Raw genomic sequence first — 21,277 nt, 5'->3', positions numbered from 1 at the left:
TGTTATAAGTTCCAATCTGGTTTCCACAGTGGCTGAACTAATTTACACTCCCACCAACAGTGTATGAGCATTCCCTTTTCCTCACAACCCCACCAGCATCTGTTGTTTTTTGACTTTTTAGGAATAGCCATTCTGACTGGTGTGAGATGGTATCTCATTGCAGTTTTGATTTGCATTTCTCTGATGATTAATGATGCTGAGCATTTTTTTGTTCGTGTTCATTGGCCACTTATATGTTTTCTTTCAAGAGGTGTCTGTTCACATCCTTTGTCCATTTTTCAATGAGACTAATTTTCCCTTGTTGATTTGTTTCACTTCCCTATATATTCTAGATATTCGATCTTTCTTGGATGCATAGTTTATGAATATCTTCCCCCATTCTGTAGGTTGTCTGTTTACTCTGTTGATAGTTGCTTTTGCTGTGTAGAAGATCTTTGGTTTAACTAGGTCTCACTTGTTTATTTTTGTTTTTGTTGCAATTACTTATGGGGACTTAGCCAAAAATTCTTTGCCAAGGCAGATGTTGAGAAGAGTATTTCTTAGGTTGTATTTTAGTATTTTTATAGTTTTAGGTAATACATTTAAATATTTGGTACATTGTGAGTTAATTTTTGTATATGGCAAAAGATAGGAGTCCAGCTTCAGTCTTTGGCAATGGCTAGCCAGTTATTCCCTGTAGCTTGTTTTTGTCAGTCTTGTCGAAGATCAGATAATTGTAGGTGTATGGCTTTATTTCTGAATTTTCTATTCTGTTCAATTGCTCTATTTGTCTATTCTCGTACCATTACCATGCTCTTTTGGCTATGATAGCTTTATAGTACAGTTTGAAGTCAGGTAGTATGATGCCTCCAGCTTTGTTCCTTTTAACTAGGATTGCTTTGACTATTCAGGTTCTCTTTTGTTTTCATATGAATTTTAGAATAGTTTTTTTATAATTCTGAAAAGAATAACATAGGTAGTTTGACAGGTGTAATGTTGAATGTGTAAATTGCTTTGGCAGTATGGCCATTTAAAACAATATCTGCCTTAAGTTTAATGTTCACTCAGGAGTTATTCACCTAATGTTCACTCAGGAGTAAGTGGTTTGATTCCAACACAATTCCAGTGTGTTTAGATAGTTTTGAGAGATCTTGATATTGATTTCTAGTTTTATTACACTGTGGTCTGAAAGTGTGCTTGGTATGATTTCAATTTTTTTGAATTTATTGAGTCTTGGTTTATGACTGAGCATGTGGTTGATCTTAGAAAGTTCCATGTGCAGATGAGAATAATGTGTATTCCATGATTGTTAGGTGGATTGTCTGTAGATGTCTATTAAGTCCAATTGGTCAAGTCAGTCGAGTTGAAGTCCAGAGTTTCTTTGTTAGTTTTCTGCCTCAGTGATCTGCATAAAACCATCAGTGAGGTGTTGAAGCTTCCCAATATTATTCTGTGGCTGTTTAAGTTTTTTGTAGACCAAGAAGAATTTGTTTTATAAATCTGAGTTCTGCAATATTGGGCATGTACATATTTAGGATAGTTAAAATTTCTTGTTGGATTGTGCCCTTTATCATTATGTAATGGCCTTTATTCTTCTTAATTTTTAATGGGTTAAAGTCTGTTTTATCTGATATAAGAATAGTGACTCCTGCTCTTTTTTTACATGGTAGATCTTTCTTCATCCTTTAACTTTAAGCCTCTAAGTGTCATTGCACATAGGATGGGTGTCTTGCAAAGAATAGATGGTTGGGTCTTGTCTTTTTATCCACTTGCCACTCTGTGTCTTTTAAGTGGGGTGTTTAGCTCATTTACATTCATGACTAAAATTGATATGTATGAAACTAGCCATCATTGTGTTATTAGCTGGTTGTTATGTAGACTTGATTGGATAGGTGCTTTATAGTGCCTCTGGGCTATGTGCTTACATGTGTTTTTGTGGTAGCAGGTGTCATTCTTTTGATTCCACTTTTAGCCCTCCCTTAAATACCTCTTGTAAGGCCAGTCTAGTAGAAATGTGTTCAATTCAGCATTTGCTTGTCTGAAAAGAATTGTATTTTTTCATCACTTATGAAGCTTAGTTTGTTGGGACATGAATTTCTTTGTTGGAATTTCTTTTCTTTAAGGGTGCTGAAAATTAGCCCCCAATCTCTTCTGGCTTGTAGGATTTCTGTTGAGAGGTCTACTGCTAGCCTGAGGGGGTCCCTTCTACAAGTGACCTGCCCCTTTTCTCTAGCTACTTTTATGATATTTTTCCTTTGTGTTGACCTTTATGAATCTGATGCCTATGTGCCTCAGGGATGGTTATCTGGAATTGTATCCAGCTGGAGTTCTCTATTTCTTGGATTTGCATGTCAACCTCTCTAGTGAGTCTAGAGAAATTTTGATGGACTGTATTCTCAAATATACTTTCCATGTTGCTTATTCTCTGTCCTTCTCTGTCAGGAATGCCAATGAGTTATCAATTTGGTCTCTTTACATAATCCCATATTTCCTAAAGATTTTGTTCATTTTTGTTAGTTCTTTTTTCTTTATTTTTGCCTGACTGAGTTGATTTAAAGAGCTGATTTTTGAGCTCTGAGATTCTTTCCTCAGCGTCATCTATTCTGCTGTTCATACTTCCAATTGTTGGGGTTTTCTTAAAATGGTTATTTCATCCTTCAGCTCTTGAATTGTTTTACTGGATTGCTTGGCTTCCTTGCATTGAATTTCAGGTTTCTCCTGAATCTTGGTGAGCTCTCTTGCCAACCAGATTCTGAATTCCATATATGCAATTTTAGACATTTCAGACTGGTTAAGAATCATTGCTGGGAAGCTAGTGGGCTTGTTTAGAGTTAAGTTACAATCTGGCTTTCTTAAGCTGATTCTTTCTCAACTGGAAGTGTTGGTGTCCCTTTAACTATGGTATAAATTTAGTGTCCTCAGTTGGCTTTGTTTATGAAAGTATTCAGAGGGCTAAGACTCTGTATAGGGTCTTTATTTATTGTTTAATTCTTGCCCTTAATTCAGCACAGAGGAGTATTAGCAAGTGTGTGTGTGTGTGTGTGTGTGTCTGTGTGTGTGTGTTTTAGTTTGGGCTGTGATCTGGTAGCTGTATGGCTTCTTTTTGTATACTCCTGTTGGCAGCTGTGCTCTGCAGTGAGAGTGAGAGAGAGGTAACCCCTCACCAGGTCCACTTCTGGGCCTTGGAGGGGGGCATCTCCAATCCCTGGCACTATGTCCTCAATTTATTGTTGTTGTTAGGTGTTGTGGGCTGTAGAGCTCCCTCAGACAGAGGCCTGGCAGGTACCAGCCCTGTGAAGGGGGGCATGCCACACCAGCCCACACACCTGTGCAACTTACCCCTTCCAGTTTTCTGACAGTGTGGGCTCCTCTTACTCAATTGCCAGACACAGGTCCTGGTTCAGCACTCCTGACCCATGGGCTGTAGCCCTGGTATGCTAGGAATTGCTTGTAGCTCCCTCCTCAGTGTTGGATTCTGGTTGCTGGGATATCCAAAAGGTTAGCAGGCTGCTCAAATGCACTCTGGTGGAGCAATGCAGTCAGGCTGGGCAGAAAACTTTGCACTATGTACATATTTCCTTTGGGCAGCCAGATAGGAGCCCTTGGAGGACCTGGCAGGGAGGTGGTCCTGCAGGACAGATGTGCCCCCATCCCAGGGGTAAGTTGGCCCTACTTTCTACTGGTCTGGGGATTAACTGGGGCTAGTAGCCTCTAATAGGGAGATGGGGAGCCCTGGGGGATGGGCATTTATGGCTGGGCTCTACTAGAGCTGTCTTTTACACAAATATACCTGGCTTTGTGCCTGCTTCAGCTCTCTCCCTCTCTCTCTCTCTCTCTGTCTGATCTCAGAGGAGATTCCTTCTGCCGGCTCAAACGTCCATGGAGGTTGTTGGGTCCCCTAGAGCTAGGATGCCAGAGGTCTATGGCAAGAGTGGCAGTCTCTTCACTCACCCCTCCCCCAGGAGCCATTTGGGGCCAAGAGCCAGCCCTAGCATTCAGGAACCCCATGCGGGGTTATCAGAATCCTTGCCCTTCTGCCTAGAAATCAGTGTCTTTTTTTCATTTACATTTGGTCTTTTCGTTCTGAAGATCTCTTCAAATTATGTTGATTTAGTAGAAATCTCAGTCTCTCCCCATACGAGAGGCACTTTCCAGCTGCATCTAGTCAGCCATCTTGAAGCTGTGCCATCAGTGTTTTTTATTCAATTCGCTGTATCTCTAAACAGATGAGTTCTTCATGTAAGAGACAAATGATTCAGTACATCTCATCCTTTTTCATTTGGTCTACAGATAAAATCCTCCTTTTGGTGTTTTGGATTTAAAAACATGCGTTTCTTGTTTCCTCTTTTATTCATCCATGGTTTTGCTTTCTTAGTCATCACATTGCTATCTTGTTTCACTAGACAGGCTTCCAAAAGGACTTGAATCACTGCTGGTTTTCTGTCTCCTGGAAATAGTTTCTTACTTCCTAGTTTTTTCTCAAGTAAGTTTTCATATCTTTATTTTACTTTCTACTGCATGGAATTTTCACCAAGACACGTATCCTATGGCCAAGATTCCAGTCATGAAGGGGAAAAAGGAAACAAATGAATCGTATTTTCTGACTAGACAACATTTTAGTCTGGGTCACAATCAGCCTTTAAATCAAAGCCTTAGGATATCAATAATTCCCTTGATCAACTTATTTGTAGGCATGTAAAGAATGTAAAAGTCATTAATGAAAATGTGATACATTAATAGGTGCAACTATGACAACAGTAAAAAGATCAGTGGTTGCCAGGGGTTAAGGGAGACAGAAGAATGGTTGAACAGGTGGAATGCAAAGCACTTTCAGTGTGGTGAAACTATTCTGTATGATACGACAATGGCAAATTCATAACACTATGCCTAACACTGTATGTCACAGAGACGGATGCTAATTAAGCTATAGACTTGATGTCAATAATATGTATCAACATTGGTTCATCAATTTTAGCAAGTTTACCACACCCCTTCAAAATGTTAATAATAAGAAAAAATGGGCAGGAAAGAGTATATTAAAACTCTACACTTTCTGTTTAATTTTTCTGTAAACCTAAAATCGCTCTAAAAGTCAATTTACAATGTTATGCATGTGTTGCAATTGTTAATATAATTATGTACAAAAAAAATAGTTTGCCAGACATTGGAATTGAGAAAATTGTATGCAAATTAGATAAATGTTTTTAAAATTAGATGTGGTTTCACTCTATAGCTAATAAAATAATTATATTTGTTTACTCGACCCATTTTTTGTAGTCTATAATTATGTATTTGATTTTTATTGTTTGGTTTACTTATTAATATCTATAGTTTTAGTTATTCATGACCTCTGGAATTGATATATGTGAGGATATACTAGACCTTATGTCGTCAAATATCTATTTTTACAAAGAAAACAAAGGTAAATGTGCCATATTATTTAAGAAAAGTTAACTCCGTTGCACGATGGTGGGAAAATAACTTCAACCACTTAATGAAATTCTAGGGAAGACAGGGCACAAATGATCAAATCACTCAGTAGTACTTTATTGTTGGAAGTATAAGTAGTTTTTACTGGATATAGCTGGAAATTCAGAAAAAAATTAGGAATAATCATGGATAAGCCACTGATAGCTGATTTTATCCAGTTGTCAAAAAAAAAAAGGTAAAGTATTTTACTTTTCCACTTGGGACATCACTGGAAAATTGCTTGTCTGTGAAATTGGTTGAGAAAGTAGTGCAAGTAAACTCTAAAATTGAAATTTGATAGACATTTCTCTTTGTATTAAGGAGACAAAAGCAGATTTTAAGTTATTCAGTGTCACATGCTACTTCCTGTTTTTCACTTCACAAACTGTGGCAAAAACAATTTTTGAAAGTGTAAAATGCTGTCTTTAGAAATATTAAGTCTAGTTTTCAAAGATGAGCAATACTGTGGAAGCAGAGACATATAATAAAAATATAATAAAAACCTCTCCCAGGATCTCACTATGACACAGAGATACCATAATTATAGTATATGGATGCTAAATGCTATAGTATATAGAGACTTCTGAATAAAAACAGTAACAGAACTTTTTCATTTGGATATCTCCAACAGAAATCTATTCCAATGGATTCCTTTTAGCATTTCTGGGCAATTCCTCAGCTTCTAAGGAATGGCAGCATACCATTATCAGAAGACATCCGTGGAGCCACTAGAGTTGTTTCAGACTCATGAGACTGATGCACAGAGGTTTCAAAGTGCATGAGATTTTACCTTTCCTTTGCTTATCCTGCAGCCAATGATTGTCAGAGTAGAATTTTGAAAAGTCAGCTGACTTATCTCTCGGATTGATAAACTCTAAGATAACTTTATACTCTCCAAAACTCAATGTAGGATTCAACTTGACTATGTACATTTACTTTATATATATATATAATTTACACATATTTTATATATGTACATTTACTATATATATACATATACATGTATGTAGGTAAATGTATATATAAAGCAAATGTATACATATATAGGTAACTGTATACATAAATTTATATGTGTATATATGTATATACAAATATGTGTAAACCCACACATTATATATTCATAGTAGATACTTTAAGTGAATACCTACTGATGTTCATATTAATAGTAAAAAGAAATAAAGTACAGTATTTAACTCAGAAAAAAATCAAAGTATGTAACCGTATAGTCGCATAAAATCATCACTTAGCATATACTTTGGAGCTTGACAGTGTAGTATCAAATCAAGTTTCTCATTTTTACTAGTTATATGACTTCAATCACATATTGTTATATCTCAAGTTTCTCATTTATAATATAGTGACTATAACAGTAACAACACACAGGATGAAGAATAAAAGCTAAAATATGTGAAATGATAAAAAGATATCTTGGTACTAAGTGCTACAAATTGTTAAAAGAATAAGTAGGTCACTTGAGATTCTGTAGGTCATGCTTCTTATTTTAAATGAATAAAGAAAATTAGTAAATTATGCAAGTTTTTTAAATTCAAGTAATTGACAAGATTAGAACCCTAAACTAGAGATCTCAACTCAAGGTCTGTCTTCTTCACATTCATTCATTTTTTCATCAAATATCTATTACATTCCCAGATGTGAGAGTCACTGACAACATAGTAATGAACAACACAGGCAGATACTTCTAACATTATCAAAGTTAAACACTATTAACTTAAAAATTATAAAAAATAAAAAATATAAAGAAAGGAAAACAATTAGAATATGTAGCACATTCAGTGATAAAGAGCAAAATATAAAAAGTAAATGAACTAGGAAAAGTCAGGGATGCAATTTCAGATAGCACTGACTTGAGAGGATCTCACTGAGAAGATAACATCTAAGGAAAAACCAAAAGAAAGACAAATGCAATCTATGGAAATATTCGACCATGAGCATTTCAGATAGAGGGAACAGTAAGTACAAAAACCCTAGGGAAGTATGCATTTGGTGTATTCAAGGAACAGTAAGGCACAATGAGTAAAAGAATGTTCAGTTAGACATTAGATGAGACAGGTAAGGTGAAAAACTATAATCGCGTGCTTTGTAAATCATTGTGACTAAAACAGTCTTAAAGTTTCTTTTTTTCCACTTGATTTAAATTTAGACTGCCTTCTTCCTAATTTTCAGGCTCTTGAGCTCTCTTTTCTTAGATTATTTACTTAGGAAACTTGTAATTATAAATCCTTTCTCTGCCCTTTGAGGTGAAAATCCTTTTATAGAGCTTCTTGCCATTTTAAATAACCAGGAATGTCTTCTTCAAGGACTTGTGAGCTATTATTTTGAAATACAACCATCAAGGAAAATAACATTCCTATAGCCCAATTTTGTAGGAGTTGTAGAAGCGTAACATTGGTGATTGTTTTGTTCCAAGTTGCAAAACTACCTGCTGTCGTGAAGATATGAGAAACTTACTATTTCCCTGAATGATGACCATTAGCAAATACAGATAGCTTAACATTCTCTAGCACATTTTCCATGAGCTAACCACAGTGCTTAAAAACCTTCTTACCTTTAATTCCTTGGAATTGAGTTCAGGCTCTCTCCTCTATTGCAATAGCTTTGAATGAAGTCTTCCTTGCCAGTTTAACTTTGGTGTCAGTTTTGCTTTGACAATTATAAGAGCTCTGACTTTTACCAAGGGAGATGAGAAAACATTTAAGAGTTTTGAATAAATGAATCACAAGATATGTTTCGCATTTAACAGAATCATTCTGGTTCCTCTGCAGAAAACATATGTAAGGAAGGCAAAGTCATCAGTAATTTAAGAGATGGGCCTGGCACAGTGGCTCATGCCTGTAATCCCAGCACTTTGGGAGGCCACAGTAGGAATATCACTTGAGGCCAGGAGTTTGAGACTAACCTGAGCAACATAGATAGACCCCATCACCACTAAAATTTTACAAATTAGCCGAGTGTGCTATCACATGCCTGTAGTCCCAGCTATTCAGGAGGCTGAGGTGGGAGGATTGCTTGAGCCCAGAAGGTCAAGGTTTCAGTGAGCTATAATCATGCCACTGTGCTACAGCCTGGGCAACAGGGCAAGACCCAGTCTCAATTTTTGGAAAAAGAGTTAGGAAGCTCTTGCAATAAGCTAGTCTAGAGATAGCAGTAGTTGGACAAAGAAAGTAACAAAGAAAGTATTAATAATGATCAGATATGACTATAATCAAATATGGATTTTGTTTTTAAATGTTCATTTATTAGTACGGGAAAATTGCAAGAACAACACATTTAGGGTAAATAATAGTAGTTCTATTTTGTACATACTGAATTAGATCACTCTGAAATACTGAATAGGCATATGAATATAAGAATTTGAATTTAATAAAGATGTCAGTGTTAGGAAAATACATACTGCAGATACCAGCCTGTAAAAGTTCTTTGAAGAAAGGAGATTTAATGAAATCACCAAGGAGGGAAGTATAGGTATTTAAAAAAAATAAGCAAAAGTTAATACTAGGGGGTATTTTTACAAATAGTTATAGAAAAGCCAGCAAAGTGTACTGAGTGCTCAGAGAGGTAGAAATTAAAAAGCTATGTTCTAGAAGACAAGGTGCTTCAAGTATAAGAACATAGTCAACTTTACCAAAGATTTATTAAAGGTTAAATGAAATGAGGACAGAAAAAATTGGTCTTTGAATATAGCAATTTGGAGATCAATGGTGACCTTGATAATAGCAGTTGTAGTGAAATTCAGCTGACAATAGACTGAAAGGGGTGGGTTGAAAAAAAGAATGCAAGGAGATGAATTATAGAGATCAATTTTTAAAAGCTCTTTTAATAAGTTTTATAGTAAACAGAAGGAAAAACTGGCATGAAAATTGGTTTTAAAAAGGCTTGTTGTCTCTACTAAAAATACAAAAAAATTAGCCGGGCGCGGTGGCGGGCGCCTGTAGTCCCAGCTACTCGGGAGGCTGAGGCAGGAGAATGGCGTGAACCCGGGAAGCGGAGCTTGCAGTGAGCCGAGATTGCGCCACTGCAGTCCGCAGTCCGGCCTGGGCGACAGAGCGAGACTCCGTCTCAAAAAAAAAAAAAAAAGGCTTGTTTGTGCTGGGAGAATAACACCTGGTCTTTATGCTGCTGGGTGTGATCCGGTAGAGAGGAAACTAATCTTGTAAGAACAAGGCAGTAAGATTGCTAAAGAAATATTCCTATGTTCTCACTTGGGGGAGAAGGGATGAGGTGTAGTGTCAAATGGAGGAGTTCCCTTTGTAAGGAGGATAGATTGTTTATTCATTTTGACACAGAAAAGGCAGAGTATTTAGATTTATGTACAGGTAAGTGGGTAGTATAGGAAGGTAGTAGGAGTAGGAGATTTTAGATTTTCTCTTGTGGTTGCTTCTTTTCCCTCACATCATATTTTGAAAATAAAGGTAAAGACCAAGGTGTAGGTTATAGGAAAGAAGCAGCACTGGTAGGATCATGTAAGAGAATGAAGACTAGGGAAATATTGTACAATTGCCTATTGACGTTGGTCAGGTAGGGACCACTTGAGGTAACTGATCATAAATTTAATTTGAGAATTGTAACAACGGTCTTGTGTTTACCTTTATCCATGTTTTTCTGTGGATGCAGGTGTCATGTAGTAGAGATTTGATTTGTCCAGTCTTGTGATTTACAAACATGAGTACAGAAAAGCATGAAAGGGGGGGAAATGCCTGTATGTAGTATAATGATTGAATGAACATGGGTCAAAACTGTAAGCAAAGAAACAAGGCCAGAAGGAGGGAAAGGGACATTAGTGGAATCAATACTTTGCAGCATCCAATAAGCTTTAAAGTATATTCAATGAATAAAATTAGAAGAATGGTATATGATGGCTGAATAATGTGGTATCTGCAATTGCTAATGACATCTAGAATACGATTTTGCATGGAAATGTCTGAGATGAGGTTGGAGACCTAACAAGTGGAAGATGTAACATCAAAGAACTGAGAAGCCATGGTAATAGGAAAATAACTCAGGCGGGCATTGAAATCACCAAGATTTATAGCAAAGGTCGTGTTGAATACAGTATAACTGTAGTGGGAGCTAAATTTTCCAGAACATGAGGGAGAGTGGCCCAAGGATTAGCAGATAATGAAAACAAGCAGGAACAGTTGGTGGTAGAGTCTGATTTCACGCTGATTGACTTTTTCCAGTAGAGGGAAAAAGAGCAATTTGGAACAGACAATGAGAACAAGGAGGAAAATTATTCCACCTCCAGTTTCTATAAAACAAGAGGTATGGAGAAAACAATACACTAACACTTTTTCATTGAAATAGTCTCCTCAAAACAGAACCTGGGTTTAGAATGAAAAAAAGAAACGTATTGTTCAAAGAAGAGCTGCAAGGTGTAACAAATTTTGCTGATGACTGATTCTAATTTACAGATGGTTCAGTGTAAGCATTTTATTAGTTGACATGAGATAGTATATGAAATCAATAAATTCTATGTACAGAGTCCTATGGGAATTGGAATCCTAGGTGAAAGGGAGAATTGAGGTCCTTTTGGTGAATGACAGGGACAGATTTAAATGCCATAATGAGATTATACTTCATATTTCCAAGACAAAGAGTGACAGTGAGCCATGAATGTTGGAGGGGAGAGAAGAGTAGGTGTATTGGCCTGAAGCACTCAGTATTCACAGGATCCCACATGGCTCTTGTTGATGGGTATCAAGACTAACAAAAGTGAAGATCTTATTCCAAGACATTCACTTACTTTTGGTGATGGATATCTATAGTATCAAAGATCTGCTCTATCTGAGAATGGGAACCTCTCATTTGATTGCCACCAATGGAGGCTTACAGTCAGCTGATCTAACTTGGAATGAATGGCCATTCTCTTGACTTCTGCCAAGATATATAGTATTTCTCTGAGCTCTCCTCTAAGATACTTGCTGATATTTCCAACAACATTGATATGATTTGGGGATGTCCCCATCCAAATCTCATCTTGAACTGTAGCTCCCATAATTCCCTTGTGTCACTGGAGGGACCCAGTGGGAGGTAATTTAATCATGGTTGCGGGTCTTTCCCTTGCTGTTCTCATAATAGTGAAAATGTCTCACGAGATCTGATGGTTTTATAAAGGGGAGTTCCCTGCACATGTTGTCCTTGCCTGCTCCCATGTAAGACATGTGCTTCTCCTTTGCCTTCTGCCATGATTATGAGGCCTCCCCAGCCATGTGGAACTGTGAGTTCATTAAACCTCTTTCTTTTATAAATTAACCAGTCTTGGGTATGTCTTTTTTAGCAGTGTGAGAACAGCCTAATATAGTAAATTGGTACTGGGTAGTGGGGTGCTGCTATAAAGATAACCAAAGATGTGGAAGCGAGTTTGGAACTGGGGAACAGGCAGATATTGGAACAGTTTTGGGGGCTCAGAAGATAGAAAAATATGGGAAAATTTAGAACTTCCTAGAGACTTGGAGGGCTCAGAAAACAGGAAGATGTGGGAAAGGTTGGAACTTCCTAGAGGCTTGTTGAAGGGCTTTGACCAAAATGCTGGTAGTGATGTGAACAATGAAACCCAGGCTAAGGTGGTCTCAGATGGAGATGAAGAACTTGTTGGGAACTGGAGTAAAGATCACTCTTGCAAGGAAAAGAGATTGGTGGTGTTTTGCTCCTGCTATAGGGATTTGTGGAATTTTGAACTTCAGAGAGATGATTTAGAGTATCTGATAGAAGAAATTTCTAGCAGCAAAGTGTTCAAAGGGAAGCAGAGCATAAAAGTTTGGAAAATTTGCAGCCTGAAAGTGCAATAGAAAAAGAAAAACCCATTTTCTGGGGAGAAATTGAAGCTGGCTGCAGAAATTTCCATAGGTAACAAGGAGTTGAATGGTAATCACTAAGCCAATGAGGAAAATGTCTCCAAGACATGTCAGAGACCTTCATGGCAGTCCCTCTCATCACATGCCTGGAGACCTTCATGGCAGCCCCTCTCATCACATGCCTGGAGGCCTAGTGGGGAAAAATGGTTTTGTGTGCCAGGTCCAAGGACCCCCTGCTCTATTCACCCTTAGGCTATGGTTTCCTGTGTCCCAGCTGCTTCAGCTCTGGCCTCAGCTAAAAGAGGTCAATGTACAGCTCAGGCCATTGCTTCAGAGGGGGTAAGCCCCAAGTCTTGGCAGCTTCCACGTGGTGTTGGTTCCATAGGTGCACAGAAGTCAAGAATTGAGGTTTGGGAACCTCGGCCTAGATCTCAGAGTATGTATGGAAATGCATGGATGTCCAGGCAGAAGTTTGCTGCAGGAGCGGGGCCCTCATGGTGAACATCTGCTAGGGCAGTGTAGAAGGGAAATGTAGGATTGGAGCCTTCAGAGTGCCCACTGAGGCACTGCCTAGTGAAACTGTGAGAAGAGGGCCACCATCCTCCAGATCCCAGAATGATAGACCCACCAACAACTTGCACTATGTACCTGGAAAAGCCACAGACATTCAAAACCAACCCATGAAAATACCCTGCAAATTCACAGAGGTGGAGCTGCCCAAGACCATGAGAACCCACCTCTTGCATCAGCGTGACCTGGATGTGAGACATGGCATCAAAGGAGATTATTTTGGAGCTTTAAGATTTGACTGCCCCACTGGATTTTGGACTTGCATGGGACCTGTAGCCTGTTTTGACTAATTTCTCCCATTTAGAATAGCTGTGCTTACCCAATGCCTTTACCCCCATTTTATCTAGGAAGTGACTAACTTGCTTTTGATTTTACAGGCTCATAGGTGAAAGGCACTTACCTTGTCTCAGATGAGACTTTGGACTATGGCCTTTGAGTTAATGCTGAAGTGAGTTAAGACCTTCAGGACTGTTGGGAAGGCATGATTGGCTTTGAACTGTGAGGACATAAGATTTAGGATGGGCCAGCAGTGGAATGATATAGTTTGGCTGTATCCACACCCAAATCTCATTTTGAACTGTAGCTCCCATAATTCCCATGTGTTGTGGGAGAGACCCGGTAGGAGGTAATTGCATCATGGGGGCAGATTTTTCCCCTGCTGTTCTCATGATGGTGAAAAGGTCTCTCAAGATCTGATGGTTTTATAAAGGATAGTTCCCCTGTACACACTCTCTTTGTCTGCCACCATGTATGAAATGCATTTGCTTCTCCTTTGCCTTCTGCCATGATTGTGTGGCTTTCCCAGCCATATAGAACTGAGTCCATTAAACCTCTTTCCTTCATAAATTACTCAGTCTCAGGTATGTCTTTATTAGCAGTGTGAGAACAGACTAATACAAACATACTTCTAAATATACATATATCATATATGTAATAGCATGCACATATATACAGACACACACACAAATATACCCACACAGCCATATATACATATATACATATACTCTTTCTTTCTCTTTTTTTTTTTTTTTTTTTTTTGAGACAGAGTCTCGCCCTTTTGCCTGGGCTGGAGTGTAGTGGCACAATCTCGGCTCACTGCAAGCTCCGCCTCCCGGATTCACGCCATTCTCCTGCCTCAGCTTCCCAAGTAGCTGGGACTACAGGCGCCTGCCACCACGCCCGGCTAATTTTTTTGTATTTTTAGTGGAAATGGGGTTTCACCATGTTAGCCAGGATGGTCTCGATCTCCTGACCTCGTGATCCGCCCATCTCAGCCTCCCAAAGTGCTGGGATTACAGGCATGAGCCACCGCGCCGGGCCTTTCTTTCTCTTTAATATGATGCTATTTTTGTTTTGATGCCCGTCTTTCCCAAATTTAGTATGACAGGGTAGCCTATGCTGTCCAACTTATACCTTAAGATGGTAACACACAGAGATATATATATATATATATATACAGATATATATATATATATACATATATATATATATATACACACACAGAGAGAGAGAAAAAAGAGAGAAATAAATGTTATATTTTATAACAAGGGAAATGTAAATATTCCTAATGCATTTATTTAACTATACCTATTTATTGAGTTCCCACCGAATACACATTAATGGGTGCAGGGAAATAAAGACAGTTTTGTCTTATGGCAAACAAGACTGTTGGCATATTTTCCAATAAGAAAAACTAGAAAATGACATATATTAGAGGTCCCTAAATTAGGTTGGAAAGTCAGGAAAAAAACTCTATATTTCATAATTTATTTTATTATGCTAACATGCTTTTGAGTGGACTCTAGGAAACAGAATCATTTACAATAAATTCCTATTACTACATCTGAATACCAAAAGGAACTAAGGTACTAAAATTAAGTGGTTCTACTGGAAATAATTTTAGCAAATATGAATAATTTGCCATTGTGTCATCACCAATTCATTAAAGAGATGTTTTTTAAATATCATACTGTTTACAATAAAATGAATAAAAAGTATTTCTGCCCTCACAGTACTCACAGACTAATGAAAAAGCCAATCATGGAAACAAATAACTGAAATACTAAATGATAGGTACAGCCTATGAATAGATCCCCAGAAGAGAAATGCCTATTCACGCTGGAATGATGATAAAGGGAATTAGAGGGGATTTTCTCAAGAAGATGATTTCTGATTTATCTTTTAAATAACATTTAAAATTAGAAAGTCCTCCCTAGAAAAAACATGGACAAAATGAATACTACCTATTCCCTCTTTCTTTCTGTTTAATAATATGCTATTTTTGTTTAGGTGCCCATCTTTCCCAAATTTAGTCATGACAGGATAGTCTGCACTGCCCATCTTATACCTAAATATGGTAATTGCATCATAAATAATCATATTACTTAATTCCAACCAATGATACATGAGAAAAAATGTACAGGTGGCTACCTAAAGAAAATTTACTGACTCCTGAAGGAAAATAACAGCAAAATAAAGTAATTTTATATATATACATAATTATATTTATATATAGTTACATATTTATATAATAATTTATATTATCTTATAATTTAATATATAATATATATTTTATTTGATATACTATATAGTATATTATAATTATATACATTTTATATAATATAAAAATATATAATTCTATACATATATTACATTACTATATTTTGCTATGATTTTTCTTTTGGAGTCAGTAAATTTGTATAAATATAAATGTACAAATAAATACGGTCAGTGAATATATATGTGTATATATATACACATATGTGTGTGTGTGAATTTATAGATATATATGTATTGCTGTGTAGCATTGTAAACCTTGAATAGCTACTAGGCTGGATATAAAGCTGATACCTAATATGGCAGAGATGAAAAAGGAAAAGTTTTTGGATATTCATGACAAGTGCCTGGACATTGCTGTGCAGATTGAGTCAATCAAACCTGAAGTCTACCTTATGTTTGGACTATTCGTCTTTTCAATCCCCGAATTAGCTTTAATTCAGTAAATTCTTTAATAATTTCTGCCTAAATTATTCTTCAATAATTTCTGCCTAAAATTCCGAATTGTATTTGCAAATCAATTTTTAAACTATTTCTAATCGTATCTTTCTCACATGTTACATAAACTTTTATAAAATAAGCATAAACATATGGATACGTTTAAATATAACAATGAAATATTTCTGCTGGATTTTACATTAACAGTTTTGAACTGGGATATATCTTACATGATTTAAGGAAAAATGTACTTTACCATTTTTCACATATCAGTATTGGAGTACTTTCTTTGTATCTTCAATGGACTGTGAAAGTCCTAACAACTTGGGATGGCCACTTTACTGGTTGAGACACACTTCAGTGACCTGAAATCAATGCCCATTTGTCACCACTTCTTATCATTTGATCTTCCCACTTCCCATTGTCACATTGTTTGATTATGTAGCTAAGCATCAAAGCACTCCTTATTCAGTGTTCTTAGCTAGATTTTACAGCCCTGACTTTTGTGTTAAAAGAATCTTTAAAATCCAAGTCTACCAGTAGATTATGTAACATATCATGTGGCTTGACAATGTTTTCACTAATGCCTAGAAAACCATAACTATTTTTCTTTATTCAAAGATATGACCACAATGTACATACAAGTCATCATGCATGTATATGAAATTTGAAGCATGTTTCATTACTTCACATTAATGGGAAAATTTAATTATGGAGGCTGACAGGTGAACACATTAATATCCCTGTAAGGTGAACAATAGGCAGTTACAAATATTTCAATATCTGAGTGGAATCTGCAAAAATATTAAGTGTTTTTGAGAAAAGTGTTCTATGTTCCAACAAGTTTGGGAATATGCAGTGGGATATATAGAGGTCACGTCTTGATCTCTCAGCTTCCTTTAAGGCCCATTTCTCTTGCATCTGTGGCCAACCATATAACCACTGGGCCAACCATAGTACTGCTGGCATCAGTAATCATTTCATTGACAAGCACAACATCTAAGTGTGTCCAATTAGAGCTCTTCTCCGAGCACACCTTCTGATTCACCAATCACAGAGAATGAAAACCTACATATGTCAGTGGTCCTTTTGATACACACAGAGAGATCCCCTCTGTAGAATGTAGCCAACAGACAGAAATAAACAGATAAAGAAGTAAGAAAATGATAGGCATCAATGATGAAAAATTTACTCTTCCATCCAGACATCCCACAATTTCTCCTATGAGCACATTAATACACAATAAATTGCTTTATTAGAAAATGTAGAGTTTGTATTATTTAAAATTTTAAAAAGCTCTGGATATTTCAACATACTCCTATACCACATGATTTCACAGCAACTTTTTAAGGTTAATTTATATCAAGGATCTCCAAGAAGAATGGCCAAACTAATTTAACTATGAAATTTATTTTTCTTTTTCTGAGGTGATAAACACATGCTAGATTATGCAGTCTCACAGCTCTGAAAGTCAAGCCCTGCACTAGGCTAAGTTAGTCAAGAAAGAAGGTTATTAGGCATGTGCTTGTAAAATTGTCATTTAGATCCATATTTTTTCTTAATCATATATATATATATATATTTGAGACAGAGTCTCACTCTGTTGCTAATAAGCCAGCTCAATGAAAACACACACATACATATATACACCAAAACCAAAAATCACTATCTAGGTTTCTGATTTCCTCGATGTAGCCCTGGCTAATTTTAAACAACCAATATTAGTGTCTGACTGATGCCCTGGGAAGAGATGCTAACCATTGATTCTGTTTGGCTGGTACAAATTGACACATCACTCTTTAAACTCACTTTGCATGAAAGGTTTGCTCAATGTAACATGACCCTATCCTACAGACTGAGTTCAATTCATCTGACAAAAGGCACCAGGGAAACACCATCTTCTGTATTTGGTGGCTAGACAAAGGAATGTTTCCAAAGTAAACTCAGACAGGATTCTAAATGGTAAGAAAGCCAAGGGCTTACTAAATTTGTATGGCCTGTTCATATATTTGTGGAAGTATCACTACAATATTTTATCAGAATCACACATTTTTACCAATTCATTAATTTTACTAATTAAATTCCATTTCTAAAATCAAACTTTCTAATTAACAAACTTTTAATTTACTCCATAAAAATCTATTTTGAAAACTGATTAATTAAGAACATGTCTGGGGCTGCTCAGTGACAAATATAGCTAAATTATGAAATGTGGACTTCTCTTTGGATAATAATTTTAAATAACAGTAACTGACAACTCCCTGAATATAGACAAAAACACACTAGCACATGTATGACAATAATTGACATACTAAATAATAGTGACTGCCTCTAGATGTAAAATAAATTTGAATAGTCTAAGTCAATGACAATAGTGATCATTGTTGTGAATCATAATTTGTCCCAGTTGGAGCCAATGAGGAAATGTCTATCATAGGAGAGCTGAAAAAACCACGAAAGACAGATATTCAATTTTCTGTTGTATGTTACACTTCTAACTGGATGTCAGGAATTATAATAACCAAATTGTGCCTATCATGGCAGCTAAATTAATGGGAAAACTCAAAGTGCTGTGGACTGTACAGCAGAAATATGAAAAGAATCTGTGCATTTAATTATGTTATTAGCACAGAATTAGAAACACTAAGAACTTTCCTAATGTATGTTTTTATATAAGATAATACATTTACATAATTTTAAAATCATATTTATTTACTTGTCTGTAACCTGGCTAGAAGACATCCTACCCTATATAAATGTGTGTCTGTATCTGAAGAGCCTGATTGATTAGCATGTTTTCTCAGGCATCAACAAAAATCTACCCATTATTTAGAAGATTCTAAATAATTCTCATTGCAGAATGAGTAGATATAAGAAATAGAATGATCTCTATTGTTTGCATAAGAATTCTTTTGATGATATATGATCATATATCAAAATTTAAAATAACATATATCTCTAAACATATATGCATAAAAATAAGATTAATACTAAGAAAGAAAAACAAAACAAAAAAACATATTTGGTAAACCCAAACCATACTTTTGGCATATTTCTTACACTGTGGCTAGAATATTGATATTTTTCACCATATTTAAAAATTATTGTATACTCAAGACAAATACTTATTAGCTGCCTGGATGTGGTATTTATGATAGTTTTGGTTTGAAAAGCAATCTTGGGGGAATATGTTATTACATTTTTTAATTAAACTGGAGCAAAAATGTTTATAGTTATTCAATTTTATTAATTTTATTTTTAAAAACAAAACATAAATAGTATGTTCCTATTACAGTTGAATCCTGGAGATGTTGGAAAGAACTAAATCACAAACTTTAAAAATCATAATCTTTTTAGTTTTTTCACAATGTCAAACATACTTTTGAAACTTTTTTTTGTGTAAGTTCATTTTGATATGTTTTGGCAAAGTTCTTCCTTGTGATAAACAATGGCAAATAGTACTCTTAAAACTTACGAGATTAGAGCAAAACATGGTTAACAAAAATAAATCAGGAAAATAATATTACCGATAGAGATCTGCAATAACCTCTGAGAATATGAAGCTTATCCAAATTCTGTACCCAAAAAAGAGATACATACATTTCAAATAGATAAGAAGTGATGTTGTGGCTGCCACAACAGGAATAAAGAGTCATGTAAGCTATGAACATTCCTGGTTTTCTGGGTCTTTCCACACTCTAACCCCATACCCGCCAACAAACAAACAAACCAAAAATCCACATTGAAGGAAGACTACAAAGAAATATCAAAGAGAACAGAATTTCTTCCAGTTCCCTGTGGTAACTACTCTCTCACCATGACCTCCAACAATTTTCTTCCTCTGTGTCCATATATACATTTCTCACAGCAACAGGTGGACGTTATTTCATCTGCTCTTGAATCTGTGCAGGCCTTATGATTGGCCTTAATAATGAAATGTGTCACAGTATGGGACTTTCCATTCCAGCCTTAAAAGGACTGCCAGTTTTCACTTTATGCCTCTTAGAACTCAGTCATCACTCTGAGAGAAGCTCAAACCACATATAGAGGCCAAGCAGTTAAGGACAGAGGTGTTTCATTTGACAGCCCCAGTTGAGACTCTGCACTAACTGTCTGCACCAACAACCAGCTGTGTGAATGAGCCATTATGGACATTCCAGCCAAGCCACTTAGTTTACTGCAGAACACAGAATCCTCACAGAATCATGAAAAATAATAAAATTGCTACTCTTTAATCCACTAAATCCTGTGTTTGTAAAATATATACAGCCATAGTTAACTGAGAAAATCTTCCAGACCCACCTCCTATCAGCATTCATGAGTTTCAACTTTGAGAATCATCAGTCTTAAAATTTGAATTGACCTGCTTTTGTATTCCTACAATCTAACTGAAGACACTTGTGTAGTTAAATAAAAGAAATAAGATGATATTTGAAAGACACTGAGAAGGGAACTTGGCAAACTGCGATACATGACAATGATATCTCTCTCAATATCTTTGTAGTGTATGGAAACATTACAAATAATGGACTTTCCATTATTTGGCAGTGTTATTTGTAAATACAGGATGCTTTGTGCATATATTAAATTTGTATCTTGTAGAGATTTCAGATGTTGAGAACAGAAAATCTGAAGGGATTTTTGAAAAACAATAAATACTATAAGATTAAATAAAATTAAAATTGGCTTACAAAGAGAAAAAGCCACAGATGTACTTGATAAGCTCCGAGAGACCGAGATTTTGAAGGGCATTGTAAACTCAACTAATAACTTTAGATATTTTTATACAGGTATTAGCCATTTTAGTGTTTCAAGTAGGCGGTTGTCATATTTGAGCCTGAGGGGAAAGAATGTTTTGTAAGACTAATGGTATTAAAGTGAAATATAGCCCTTCCACTTATGTTCATAAGAAAGTAACAGGGTCTGAAATTACTTTTCTGACACAAATGCCTGGAAAAAATTGATCAAGTATGTGACTATATATATATATGTATATATATCGAGAGAAAAAGAGAGTAAATATTGTTTTCTTACACAAAAAAGTTATAAGTATTTTAGTTAATACATATGCTATTTGTTTGATCTAGCCATTCCACAATATATACTACATCTTCATATCGTATACCTTAAATATATAAAATTTTGTGTGTCGATTTTTTAAAAATGTAAAAAAAAAAACCAGCAATTTGCAGATATCAGGTAACAAGCAGCACTAGAATAGTATTTTCTAAAATAAGGAACATACTGAATTGAGCTCTACCATTGCCAAGACTTTCTGCCTGGAGCCAGTTTTCAGTACATGATATAGGGAAATAGAACCTGGCATGCTCACTGAATGAAAGAGACAGCAATTTGAGTTCAGGGAAGCTGAACTGACTAGAATTTACAGGGTACAATTCCAGAGAGGAGAGAGCCAGGGGGAGAAGGAATTTCATAATTTGCATAGGGTTTTC

The sequence above is a fragment of the Homo sapiens genome, chromosome 4, assembly GCF_000001405.40.
Source record: "Homo sapiens chromosome 4, GRCh38.p14 Primary Assembly".
NCBI classification, from domain to species: domain Eukaryota; kingdom Metazoa; phylum Chordata; class Mammalia; order Primates; family Hominidae; genus Homo; species Homo sapiens.
The sequence above is the reverse complement of the archived record's forward strand: the minus strand, read 5'-3'. Positions refer to the sequence as shown.